This window comes from Homo sapiens, chromosome 8, assembly GCF_000001405.40.
Source record: "Homo sapiens chromosome 8, GRCh38.p14 Primary Assembly".
Taxonomy (NCBI): domain Eukaryota; kingdom Metazoa; phylum Chordata; class Mammalia; order Primates; family Hominidae; genus Homo; species Homo sapiens.
This window is the reverse complement of record NC_000008.11, coordinates 120,037,956-120,051,769: the sequence shown is the minus strand read 5'-3', so window position 1 is coordinate 120,051,769 and position 13,814 is coordinate 120,037,956. Positions and strand designations below refer to the sequence as shown.

The following is a 13,814-nucleotide window of genomic DNA, read 5'->3' as shown; positions in this document are numbered from 1 at the left end:
GGAAGTTCTATTATGCCAGGGTCCAAGATAATGGGTAAAGCAGGCAAGAAGAAGATACCATTTCTCAAAAGGAGATACCATTTCTCGAAAGGTATTCCTTCTTCTTTTGTCACTTAATGAATACCTGAGCACAGAAAGCATTTAAGACTCATCTTTTAAAGATGCTATAAAAAATTTTTTTAAGCCAGTGGTAAGGTTTCCCACTTTATTAGTTTTGTGGCCTTGGGCATATGACTAACCACTTTACAAGTCAGTTTCCTCATTTGTAAAATGGAGATAATGACCGTATTGACTTCACAGGTAAATAAGGACAAATGGCGTAAAGTCTTAGCATACAGCCTGGCTCAGAATAAACCCTCAATATAAGGTCCTTAAATGGGGAAAAGTTGAGGGGAGTAACATGGGATTTAGCGTTAAACCTGTGTTTACATTCAGCCTATTTCACCTAGTAGTTCCTGCAGCCGTGTGAATTTAGAGACCATTTTAAAACTTGCTCAGGCTTAGTTTCCACATCTGAAAAATGTGGACGTTAATATCTACCTTGCAAGGTTGCATTGAGGGTTAAAGGATATCATATATATTAAATGCACAGAGCCTGCCATACAGTACAAATGCACACCCACACAGAGGTGATAGTATTTCTCAAATGTATATCAACAGTATTACTGTTAGACATTCTCTGTCACTCCAAAATCCTATTCTCTGACTAAAGCTACAAATCAGAAAAGTTGGATTACCAGAAATATATATATATATATATATATATATATATATGTCTATAACATATTTAGCACGGTAGGTCCATTCCACCAGTACCTATACATTACGATAACCTAATGAAAAGAAATGGCTGTGGTACAATTCTCATATTTTATTTTGTTAATGCATGATAAAAAATTAACGTCATCATTCAGATCCATTATTTGGAATGAAGAATTTAGTATTTCCTGACTGCCTAATTTGGCACTTTGAGGAATTTCCTCTGCACGCTGAGCCCCAAAATGCACTATTTTCTAGACCAAAAATGAAAACGTGCGTATATACAAGTGAGCTGAAAAGTTACAACACAAGATGATCATTTTGGTGAAAAATAATCCCCCCAAATAAGCAGCATGTCATGTCCTTAGAATATGTTACACTAGAAAGCTAGTAAAAATTCAGGCTAAGGAGGCAATTTAGAGTTCAAGTTTTATCACATATCAGCAAAGTTTTAGCCTTCCCTTAAAAACAGACACCTTCAAAGTGAAATCTTGCCAGAAGGGTTGATTTTTAATTATGTGTATATACAAACTTCTCTATTTTAACATTCAACATATTCAGGATTAATTCTAGAAAGATGCTATAGCTGATTTATAAAACAAAATGATTTAGGATCAGAAAGAAAATAGGGGCACACAATTTCATGTAGTCTCTCCCTAACTACCCCCAACCATAGCATCACAAGGTTTTTTTTTTTCCTAATGCCACAATTGAAACCTGTATTAACTTAAAAGTTGACACTAAAGGCAGGAATTAAGAAGTCATTTTTTATGGCTTTTAAGCACTTGAATGCTTTAGAACCCCCTTGAAAATGCTAGTGAACAGGTCTTATTCCTTTAAATGTTGCTTTGATTTGAATCTTGGTGAAATCTAGATTCCCTATTAAATAGCTGCATGCTAATTTTGGAGAAAGTACAATTTAAAACCTTTAACAACTACTCTATTGACTCTGAAGAAGGGGACTTTAGCATGTCGCTGTTTGGGCTAGAGAAGCATTTCAACACCTTTCTGCAAACTAAGATAAAAAACAATGAATGAGAGCTACAAATAGAAATCTAGTAAGGCAGTTCTATCATGTAGGAAAATGGTTTCCCAAATGTTTTCTACACTGACATTTTTTAAAAAAGATATGATACCCGGTTCTTCCACATTCAGTGTATAAAACTCAACTTTAGACATGTATGTGCGGAGAAGACTCGTATGTCCAAAACCATCCATTTGCATGGCAATCTTGTCTTTGCATTGCTTTGTGTCATTCTGGCTTCCCTCACCCACAGGCCACTGGAGGGCTGGGAGGCCCAGGAGCTCAGCACTCTAACTCCTCCATGACTTCCATGACAATCGTCCGTGGGCCCGTCAGAATCAGATTGCTCACGGTCCGGTAGTCTACATGCAGGACATTGAGCCCGTTGACAGAGACGACAAACTGACAGACCTAAAGGAAAGATGCAAAGAAAGAGCATCTATTATAGCGCCTGGTTTTGCACAAAGCTTTAATAAAGACAGTGTGTAGCCCTAACAGGTAACTTCATTCTTAAAATATCCAAATGTATCCAGCTGACGACTCCAATTCAATAATTTCCAAGGAGCTACACATTTTCTGGAAGGCAGTATAATTTAAAAAAAAAAAAATCGTTTTAGTGTTTTACAAAATTTGGCTTAAATCCTAACTCAGAGACATACTAGCTTTAGCTAGTATTTAAATACTAGCTAGGTATTTAAATTTCTGAGCTTTATTTCCCTCAACCCTAAAATAAGAATTAATAATAATAATAAGAGTAATACCTACCTTATAAGACTGTTGTAAGAATTAATGACATATATAGTTTCTACTTGCAGTAATTCACAGGCATGCTTGCTCCCAATTATTAATTATTAGTGTTGAGGACTCAACCAAAGAATGTAAAAAATACCAAAACACCTTGGGAACCATCATTTCCTTTTATTGTTTTCTGTGTGGGTAATATCGATGTAAACTTAAACATGATATTAAGTCCAAAAATATCTATACTTATTACTTAGATACAACAAAATTGGAGAGTACTGGGAAGAGTATTGGAAAGCTCTGTCACTGTGGAAAAGATGAGGGGACTTAGAATCAAAGATACAGATTTAAGTTATAGGTCCCTTTGGTGGAATACATTAATCAAGTAATTTCTCCTCTTCTATGTTTCAACGATATAAATGCCTCACTTGTACAACAGGTAAAAACGCCTATTCTCACAGGCTCACACTAGATAGTGCATTTGAAACCTCTTTGCAAACACCAAGCACTACACCGATGCTGAGTACTATTAATCTCTTTCCTTTCAAAAAATACCCACTTCTTTCACGGTCACAGGCAAAACAAAATGGAAAGCGGGCAGTAGTACACAGACTGCTTATTTACTCAATAAACACTCGCTGTTGTCATAAACCTTGATACTTTGCACTCCCCAACCTACTAGGGTGTTTTCTCCACATAAGATCACACTATTACTGTTTCTCTTTTCTTGGTTCCACAAATTTGTCTTCATGGATTCAGGGTACATCTTATACAAAATCAGCAGTTTTCAACCATGGTGGAGGTCACAGTCATAATCAAGGTCACACAAACAGGTCACAATCTATCCTGAACTAGGCCACAGTAATTTGCAAGACAATTTAGCAGTAATTTGCAATTTAGCAGGCATCAGCCTGGGCTTTGTTTTTTTCTGCTGCAGCAGACTCATGAGCCAAAGAATGAGAAGAATTTCACCTCCTTCCCAACCCAGAGCTTTAGACCCTAGACTTGGAAATTTCAAATCCCTTGTCTTTTCCACAGATACAGGGGTTTCTTTTTCCAAAAAGATGAATAGCCTTTTTGCACTGCCAAATAAGAGGGCAGGAGTTGCCAGGTGAGTGCCCTCTCCAGCTGACCCTTCGCAGGCTCCCTGAGATTAGCCATGTCTCCGCATCGCTCAGGGATCACATTTCACCATTTACTTTTTTTTTTTTTTGACATGGAGTCTCCCTCTGTTGCCCAGGCTGGAGTGCTGTGGCACGATCTCCTCCATCTCCCAGGCTCAAGCGATCCTCCCACCTCAGCCTCCCGAGTAGCTGGGATTACAGGTGTGTGCCACCATGCCCAGCTAATTTTTTGTATTTTTGGTAGAGAGGGGGTTCGCCATGTTGGCCAGTCTGGTCTTGAACTCTTGACCTCCGGTGATCCTCCCACCTTGGCCTCCCAAAGTGCTGGGATTATAGGTGTGAGCCACCACACTTGGCCTCAGCATTTAGTCTTAACCACAATTGTGTGTCCTCTGTCACACATCATGTTTGTTTTAATTGACCAGCATTTAAAATTTAGAAAATCTGCCAGGCACAGTAGCTCATGCCTGTAATCCCAGCACTTTGGGAGGCCGAGGCAGGTGGATCACTTGAGGTGGATCAGCCTGGCGGGTGGATCAGCCTGGTCAACATGGTGAAACCCCGTCTCTACTAAAAATACAAAAAAATTAGCTGGGCGTGGTGGCGGATGCCTGTAATCCCAGCTACTTGGAAAGCTGAGGCAGAAGAATCACTTGAACCCGGGAGGTGGAGGTTGTAGTGAGCCGAGATCACACCATTGCACTCCAGCCTGGGCAACAACAGTGAAACTCCATTTCAAAAAATAAAAGTAAAAAATAAAATAAAATTTGGAAAATCTTTGCATAAAAATCCAGACTCTGGGCTGGGTGCAGTGGCTCACATCTGTAATCCCAGCACTTTGGGAGGCCGAAGCGGGCAGATCACCTGAGGCCAGAAGTTCAAGACCAGCCTGGCCAACATGGTGAAACCCCATCTCTACTAAAAATACAAAAATTAGCCAGGTGTAGTGGCACACCTGTAATCCCAGCTACTCAGGAGCCTGGGGCAGGAGAATTGCTTGAACCTGGGAGGCAGAGGTTGCAGTGGGCCGAGATTCTGCCACTGCACTCTAGCCTGGGCAACAAAGCAAGACTCTGTCTCAAAATAAATAAATAAATAAAAACCCAGACTCTGGCTTCTCTGGGACAATCAGAAGCTGTGATCATACCAGGTGTAGATGGCCATGTGGCCATGGCTGAGTAGAGCCTGCCTGTTCTACACATGGCATGGACACTCATTTGCCACAGTCCTTACGGCTTCCTATCTTCCTAACACCTGGCTGACAGGCATGTGAGTTTGTGGTCCCTGATCTATGGCCACCAGAGGGAAAAGCGTTGAAGACAGGGTGGCTTGAAGCTTCAAGAACTGAAGGACCCCAATGTTTGTCAACAGATGAAAGGAGGTTGGGCGTGGTGGCACATGCCTGTAATCCTAACACTTTGGGAGGCTGAGGCAGAAGGATTGCTTGAGCCAGCCTGGACAACATAGTGAGACTCCGTCTCTACAAAATATATATATCTATATATTTAAAAAATTTAAAAAGACAGATGAAAGGAGAAATATAATTCAGTATATCCATACAGTGGAATATTATTCGGCCATAAAATGGAACATACAACATGCTACAACATGGGTGAGCCCTGAAAACATTATGCTAAGTAAAAGATGCCAGTCAGAATAGACCATAGAGTGTAAGAGCCCATTTATATGAAATGTCCAGAGTAGGCAAATCCACAGAGACAGCAAGTAGATTATTGATTACTTAGGGTTGGGAGCAGGGGTGGTGGGGTGGGGCATGGAAGTGGTTGGTAATGGGTACGGGGTTTCTTTTAGGGGTGATAAAAATGCTCTAAAATTGTTGTAATAGTGACATAAATCTGTGAATATATTAAAAACTACTGAATTCTACAGTTTACATGGATAAATTGCATGGTATGTGAACTATATCTCCATAAAGCTCTTAGTTAAGTAATGAAACAAAACAAAACAATAAACATTGAAGGGAAGAGGGCCCTGATGCTAACAGTGGGTAGATTCTTGGTCTACAAGGATCTCCCTTCTGTCTAGAAGGGAGAGGCTGGTTTGGTTCAAGATGGGGTCCTGTGCACCTCTTGATTGCAGAGCTCTTGGAGGCCTCAGAAGCTAGGATGGTCAAGGCTGTATGTGTGGGAGGATGAGCACCTGGTGAACTCTGCACAGGACCTTTACCCAGGTGTTCAGGGGTAGGAAAAGGGCAGTCAGCAGGGCTGTCTGGCCAAGGGCCAGTGGCACCAGTCACTAATACTGGTCAGGGTTCATTTTACTGGACTGCCTAAAAGCCCTGGGATGGGGGCTGTGGTGGGTTATGGTGCACATGATCTCAAACGGGAAGGACATAGGCAAGGGACACCAAAATGATCTGACATTGAACTTGTCATCAACCTTGGTGATGGTCACTTCAACTGAATTTAATTTTAGAAAAACAGGCCGGGCACGTGCAGTGGCTCACGTCTGCAATCCTAGCACTTTGGGAGGCCAAGGCAGGCGGATCACTCGAGCTCAGGAGTTCAAGTCCAGCCTAGGCAACATGGCGAAACTCTGTTTCTACAAAAATAAAAATAAAAAATTAGCCAGGTGTGGTGGCACACGCCAGTAGTCCCAGCTACTTGGGGGACTGAGGCAAGAGTATCGCTTCAACCCAGGCGGTTGAAGCTGCAGTGAACCAAGATCATGCCACTGCATTCCAGCCTGAGTGACAAAGTGAGATCCTGCCTAAAAAACATAAAAGATAAAAAATAAAAAAATTAGAAAAACAGAAAAAGGTCATTTCTTGTTTTTGTTTTCTAAGTGTATGCACACACACATTTCTCAAATGCCAAAGTTTGTGACTAATTCACTCTTTCATAAAGTAAGGCTGATTCAGGGCTACCCTAGGCATAAAGACAGTCTCACTCCCTTGCGTTCCCACATGCTGTCCAGAGCAGCCAGTCAAGAGTGGGGTCAGAGCAAGCACACCGTGAACTGCTCATTTCACACAAACCTTCTTACTTGTGCTGCCACCTGAGCACATCTCTAGGGGTATAGAGGATCAGGTGAAGACCCTCTGTCACAGGTGTTCTGGAGAAAAAGCCCATGACATCTTGTACCAACTAGTGTGTGGAGAACTTAAATAAGATTTATTAGGTAGGTGCAAAAGCAATTGTGGTTTTGCAACTTTTAATTGCAAAAACTGCAGTTACTTTTGCACCAACCTAATAAATACCAGCATCTTTGCCTTCACGAAGCTTACAATTTAGTTTAGGAGGCAGAGTATCACAGGCAGGATCCTTTTCAAAATAGCAGGCAACCTCTCAATCAATTCAGTCATATATTGAAAAACCTAGTATTTCTCAAGTGCCAATCCAAGTACTTTACACACTTAATAAAAATTGTCCTAAAAGTCATATGGTGACACATCTGTTGGTTTTTGGTTATCCAGCTTCATTTCACTACAGTTGACTTGATATTCTTTTCAGGTATCACCTTTCCTCTGCTGTGGGCAGTATGGATAGGAATGTCAACCAACATGCCCTGCCCTCCCCCTATTCACAGGGTCATCTGACCCTAAGCTTGGCCAGTCAGACTCTGTCTCCTGGACCACTGACTGTGGAGCTGAGTAACACAGGAAAGTTCATTTGCTCTGGTATTTGGGTCCCCAGATCTGCCTTGGTTCCTGTCCTTTATCAAGCTTGGTTCTCCAGGCTAGGCACGGTGGCTCATGCCTGTAATCCCAGCACTTTGGGAAGCCAAGGCTGGTAGATCACCTGAGGTCAGGAGTTCGAGACCAGCCTGACCAACATGGTGAAACCCTGTCTCTATTAAATACGAAACATTAGCTGGGCATGGTGGTGCATGCCTGTAATTCCAGATACTTGCGAGGCTGAGGCAGGAGAATCACTTGAACCTGGGAGGTGGAGGTTGCAACAAGAGCAAAACCCCCATCTCAAAAAAATAAATAAATAAATAAAAATAAAAAGCTTGGTTCTCTGGATCTGCCTTTGTTTTACATACTTAATATCTTTCTAATCAATTTCTTTTTTCTTTTTTTTTTTTGTTAGGCTAGCTGATTTCTGTCACTGGCAACCCACCATCCCCAATGCAATCTCTTTTTTTAAGACAGAGTCTCGCGCTGTCCCTCAGGCAAGAGTGCAGTGGCAGGATTTTGGCTCACTGCAACTTCCTACACCCGGGTTCAAACAATTCTCATGCCTCAGCCTCCCAAGTAGCTGGGATTACAGGCACACACCACCACGCCCAGCTAATTTTTGTATTTTTAGTAGAGACGGGGTTTCACCATGTTGGCGAGGCTGGTCTTGAACTCCTGACCTCAGGTGATCCACCCACCTCAGCCTCCCAAAGTGCTGGAATTGCAGGCATGAGCTACCATGCCTGGCCCCCAGTGCAATCTTTATAAACAAGCTAAATGTCAGAGAGGATAAATTATTTGCTCAAGTTCACACAACTAAGTGCTGCATCTGGAATCTGACCTCCAGGATACTCTACAGGCCTACATAAGAACAAATTTATAAAGTAAAATATGTATATGCAAGTTCTCAGGCATGCACAGAATAGTGGATGACAAACGTTTCTTCTCTTTAACTGTTAAACAGTCCCTAGGGCCACTCAAATATCTTACGGTGTTGATGTTTAGCTTCTTTCAGCTTCTTAAGAAGGTTTTTATTCAATTAAGGTTTTGGGTTTCTTTTTGTGTCACTAAAAACTCTGAATAATATGTAAACTTAGATACTTATTTCAAACTTTTTCCTTGAATAAGGCAAAAAATAATGCCTTCAAAACATTTATCATGTTAATATTCAAGGTAGTAATTTTAGATTTAGGCTATTAGGGCCAGTCACGGTGGCTCATGCCTGTAAACCCAGCACTTTGAAAGGCTGAGGCAGGCAGATCACTTGAGGTCATGAGTTTGAGACCATGGGTGATGGGTGTACCAAAATCTCACAAATCACCACTAAAGAACTTACTTATGTAACCAAACACCACCTGCTCCCCAATTACCTATATAAATAAAAAATTTTAAAAAAAAAGAAGAGTTCTAGACCAGCCTGGCCAACATGGTGAAACCCAGTCTCCACTAAAAATACAAAAATTAGCCAGGCATGGTGGTACATACCTGTAATCCCAGCTACTCGGGAGGCTGAGGCAGGAGAATCACTTGGAACCTGGGAGGCAGAGGTTGCAGTGAGCCAAGATTGCACTACTGCACTCCAGCCTGAGCAACAGAGTGACACTCTGCCTCGATAAAATAAAATAAATTTTAAAATTAAAAAAATAAAAATAAAAAAATACGCTGGGCACAGTGCTCACACCTGTAATCCCAGCACTTTGGGAGGCCAAGGCAGGTGGATCATCTGAGGTCAGGAGTTCGAGACCAGCTTGACCCAACATGGTGAGACCCTGTCTCTACTAAAAATGCGAAAATTAGCCAGGCATCGTGGTGCATGCCTGTAATCCCAGCTACTTGGGAGGCTGAGGCAGGAGAATTGCTTGAACCTGGGAGGCGGAAGTTGCAATGAGCCGAGATAGTGCCATTGCACTACAGCCTGGGCAACAAGAGCAAAACTCGGTCTCAAAAATAAAAAATAAAATAAAAATAGATTTAGGCTGTTAGAAAAGACGTCATCTGTCCCTAAGTGGTCTGAACAACTGCTGTGGTTCCAGCAATTCCAATGTCCTGTTAGTAAAAATGTACAAAATGATCTAGAAATGTAGGTATTACTATGTAACATATTCAGTTATAATGAATTTTCATTTAACATCTATGGTACACTATGTGTTGCAAATCAACACACATTATGAGTAACCACAGGAAGCACTCAGCCTGGGGGAAATTATTTCTCCTCTGTATTCAAAAGCACACAGGCACAAACACACAGAACGCGTGACTACCTCTGAATGGCGGGCGGCCACCTTAGGAACTTATTACCTTCTACTTGAGGTGGGGTGACTTAGATGCCACCCACTGGTGGTAACAAGAGTTCAAGTAAGGTTGCAATACTTTTTTTTTTTTTTCCTTATAATTATCTTTATCGGATCTGTTTCCAAAGATGGGATTGCATTTCCCTAGTTCTTGGAAAAGGGATCAATCATGAGCTCATATAACTGCTCTGTAACTCATCTCCCACAAAGAGGTAGTACCTTCACCTTCAAATGAAGGGATAAGGAGCAAATTCTTGAATGAAAAGGAAGAACAAAACTTTCACAAGTAATATGAAGCCTAGGTAAGTAATGTCTCCAAGCAAGTGGGCACTGGAGGAAAGTTCTAAGAACCGCTGGGTGCAGTGGCTCACGCCTGTAATCCCAGCACTTTGGGAGGCGAGGTGGGTGGATCACCTGAGATCATGAGTTCAAGACCAGCCTGGCCAACATGGTGAAACCCCGTCTCTACCAAAAATACAAAAATCAGCTGGGCGTGGTGGTGCATGCCTGTAATCCCAGCTACTCTCGAGGCTGAGGCCCAAGAATTGCTTGAACCCAAGAGGCAGAGGTTGTAGTGAGCTGAGATGGCGCCACTGCACTCCAGCCTGGGTAACAGAGTGAGACCCTATTTGAAGAATTTAAAAAAAAGTTATAAGAACCTAAGTTAGCCTCGTAAGAGTTAACAGGAAGCAGGAGGCAGGACTCAGCACATTTCAGGGTGTGATCAGGCTGGGATAAATACCTAGGCTGAACTCCAGCCTTCCTCCTGATAGGAAGCCAAACTTACTAAATAATCTTGCCTACAATTCCTCTCCCTGCGCCAGTCCTGGCAGATGTACGATAATCCTCTGGATAGACTGAGTGCCCATGGGATTGTTCAATTGCACATTTGTTCTTATAGGCTGGCGTCCCATCACAATGATTCAATTGTTTCATCCAAAGTGGGAGTGAAGTTGGGGAGAAACACTACACCTATGATTACATAATTGTCTTCTCACTGTCATGGAAGTCTGTATTCACCAAGAAATTTGCATCCCAGAAATTGTTGCATTCATGTCAATACCTTCTTGTTTTTTTCTTTCTGATCTTGAAGGAGAATGAAGGATTGAAGGGGAAGGCTGCTTCTGACTATCCCTGAAAATAACATAAAACATTTAACAATACAGAGAAAGACTCAGACAGAAAAGAATGATAAGATACACACAAATAGATGTGGAAAATGACCAGGGAGAGCTGAGATCTGCTTAGTAGAGTAGGAAAGGCTGCCCGATTAAATGATACAGAAAGCAGAACAAGATGTTAAGTAGCAAGCCATTACTAAAATCTTAATCAAGTAGAGCACTCATTTGTGTTCTAGAGATCATCCTGATCCAACTCCCATAAAAAGTGGAATTCTTTCCTACACGTCCCTACTAGGTATCCAGCCCATCTCTCTAGAATACTTACGTTAGGAAATGCACCACTTAATGAGGAAGACTTTTGGAGTCCAGTTGCATATTAGAAGTTCTAGCTATGCATTTTTGGTTAACATTTGGGCCATTTTTCACTGCGCAATTGCTCAAGTGAAAAAGCACAACCAAATACAAAAAAAGTGGCTCTCAAACCATAGTGTAAATATGAGTCACCTTTGGGATCCCATTCTAAGTATGACTTCTCAGATCTTATCCAAGACCTACCAAATCTGCCTCCCAGGTTCACACCATTCTGCCTCAGCCTCCCGAGTAGCTGGGACTACAGGCGCCCACCACCACGCCCGGCTAATTTTTTGTATTTTTAGTAGAGATGGGGTTTCACCACGTTAGCCAGGATGGTCTTGATCTCCCGACCTCGAGATCTGCCCGCCTCGGCCTCCCAAAGTGCTGGGATTACAGGCGTGAGCCACCAAGCTCAGCCCTGCTAGGATTTTTTTCTACCAAAAGTTAGTTTAAATGCTCATCCCATACCTGTTAGTATTATAAGAGAGCATTCTTTCACCATGAGCATTAACTGCCTCATGCAAGAAGAAGGCTGATGTTTTAGTTATTAAAATTATTACTTGCCTAAAGGTCGGGCATGGTGGCTCATGCCTGTAATACCAGAACTTTGGGAGGCCGAGGCAGGCGCATCACTTGGAGTCAGGAGTTCGAGACCAGCCTGGCCAACATGGTGAAACCCCATCTCTACTAAGAATACAAAAATTAGCCAGGCGTGGTGGCATGTGCCTGTAGTCCCAGCTACTTGGGAGGCTGAGGCACGAGAATTGCTTGAACCGAGAGGCAGAGACTGCAGTGAGGCGAGTTTGTGCCATTGCACTCCAGCCTGAGCAACAGAGCGAGACTCTGTCTCAAAAAACAAAAAACAAATAAAAAACAATAAAAGTATTACTTGATGAAAGTCTGTTTCATTTTTAGAGCCAAATTTTGCTATTCTTTAAACTTCAAAACTAATAATAATAATGATGGACAAAAATGACTAAGTTTAGAACCATTATCGGAGATAATAATCAGGCTCCTGAGAATAAGGACTCAGGCTTTTTGGCAGCCAAAATATCAAAAAGAAAAAGGCTGAGACTGAAGCAGAGCAACAAAAATCATGAGTAGATTAAGAAATATTTGAAAGCCGTTGAAATTTAGATTTTTGAAAGAAAAATTATTTTGATTATTCCTATTTCTTTAAACTTTGCTCCAAATCACACATCTGGCTTTCATAACATGATATCAGATTGTGAAAGCAATGTCATACACATTTAGATAAAGCACTATCTTCTTATAATTTGTTATTTCTCCTCTCTGTCCTATACCTGAGGAAGCCTAGCCATTGGGTCCATCCATGTCTTCGTCTGTTTGGGCTGCTACAACAAACATCAAATACCATAAACTGAGTGGCTTATAAACAATAAATAGTTACTTCTCCCATTTCTGGATCTTGGTTAAGTCCAAGATCAAGGTGCTGGCAGGTGTCTGGTGAGGGCTGCCTCTTTGTAGATGGCACCTTCTATGTCCTCACATGGTAGAAGGGGCAAGGAATCTCTTTCCAGCCACTTTCATAAGGGCACTAATCCCATTCATGAGGGCTCTGACCCAGTGACCTAATCATTTCCCAAAGGCCCTGCCTTCTAATACCTGATCGCTTTGAGAGTTAGGATTTTAGCATATGAATTTGGAGGGGGTGTAAACATTCGGACCATAGTAGTTCATATCCCCAGACTACTTCTTAGGTCACAACTTGCCAGTCAGCATGGGCAGTGCTATAATAGCTAATAAGAACATCTAACAATTTTCCAAAACTCTTTACATGTGTAATTTCATTAAAAATTCCCAACGCAGGTCCTATTATTTTTATTTCCATCTCACGATTGAGGGGGTAGATTCAGAAAGTAAAGTAATTGGCCCAAGTTCACAGAGCTAGTAAGTGGTGAAACCAGGATCTGACTCGAAACTTGTACACTTAAGACCTCGGCTACTCTGCCCCCTGAGCAGTGGATAATCAGCTTCCCCCAAATAGGCACAGATACCACATAGATGAGCATCCTAGCCTGGTGTCTAAGCACCTCTTTTCTTTTCTTCTTATTTATTATTTGTTTATTTATTTCTTTTTTCTTTTTTTTTTTTTTTTTGAGATAGGGTCTCACTTTGTCACACAGGTTGGAGTGCAGTGGTGTGATCTTGGCTCACTGAAACCTCTGCCTCCCAAGTTCAAGCTATATCCTCCCACCTCAGCCTCCTGAGTAGCTGGGACCACAGGTGTGTGCATTCATGCCAAGCTAAGTTTTGTAGAGACAGGATTTTGCCATGTTGCCCAGGCTGCTCTTGAACTCTTGAGCTCAGGCGATCCACCTGCCTTGGCCTCCCAAAGTGCTGGGATTACAGGCCTGAGCCTTTGTGCCAGGCTATAGTGAATTTCTTTTTTTACTTTCTTCTTCTTCTTTTTTTTTTTTTTTGAGACAGACTCTCGCTCTGTCACCCAGGCTGGAGTGCAGTGGCACAATCTCAGCTCACTGCAACCTCTACTTCCTGGGTTCAAGCAATTCTCGTGCCTCAGCCTCCCTAGTAGCTGGGACTACAGGTGTGCACCACCACATCTGGCTAATTTTTTTGTGTTTTAGTAGAGACAGGGGTTGCATCATGTTGCCCAGGCTGGTCTCGAACTCCTGGCCTCAAGCGATCCACCCGCCTTGGCCTCCCAAAGTGCTAGGATTATAGATGTGAGCCACCGGGCCCAGCAGAATTTCTTAAGAACACTGCATTTGACTT

General features: G+C 42.1%; 1 protein-coding gene across 2 annotated transcripts in view, besides 2 other annotated features; it reads right to left on the bottom strand.

The window, feature by feature from the left end:
* Window positions 1-851: 851 nt before the first annotated feature.
* DEPTOR (DEP domain containing MTOR interacting protein) overlaps window positions 852-13,814 on the bottom strand; it is a 177,197-nt gene continuing 164,234 nt past the window's right edge. For both annotated transcript variants that reach the window (NM_022783.4, NM_001283012.2), the window contains one exon: window positions 852-2,194. In NM_022783.4, coding sequence (NP_073620.2) covers window positions 2,066-2,194 — 129 coding nt within the window. In that variant the 3' untranslated portion in view covers window positions 852-2,065. The remainder of the gene's footprint in view (window positions 2,195-13,814) is intronic.
* Window positions 2,445-3,304: an enhancer, noted in NCBI's record as "OCT4-NANOG-H3K27ac-H3K4me1 hESC enhancer chr8:121060705-121061564 (GRCh37/hg19 assembly coordinates)". NCBI's record gives its function as "activates a minimal SCP1, AML or CMV promoter by ChIP-STARR-seq in primed H9 embryonic stem cells {active_cell/tissue: H9 hESC(primed)}" and the evidence as "EXISTENCE:reporter gene assay evidence [ECO:0000049][PMID:30033119]".
* Window positions 3,305-4,164: an enhancer, noted in NCBI's record as "OCT4-NANOG-H3K27ac hESC enhancer chr8:121059845-121060704 (GRCh37/hg19 assembly coordinates)". NCBI's record gives its function as "activates a minimal SCP1, AML or CMV promoter by ChIP-STARR-seq in primed H9 embryonic stem cells {active_cell/tissue: H9 hESC(primed)}" and the evidence as "EXISTENCE:reporter gene assay evidence [ECO:0000049][PMID:30033119]".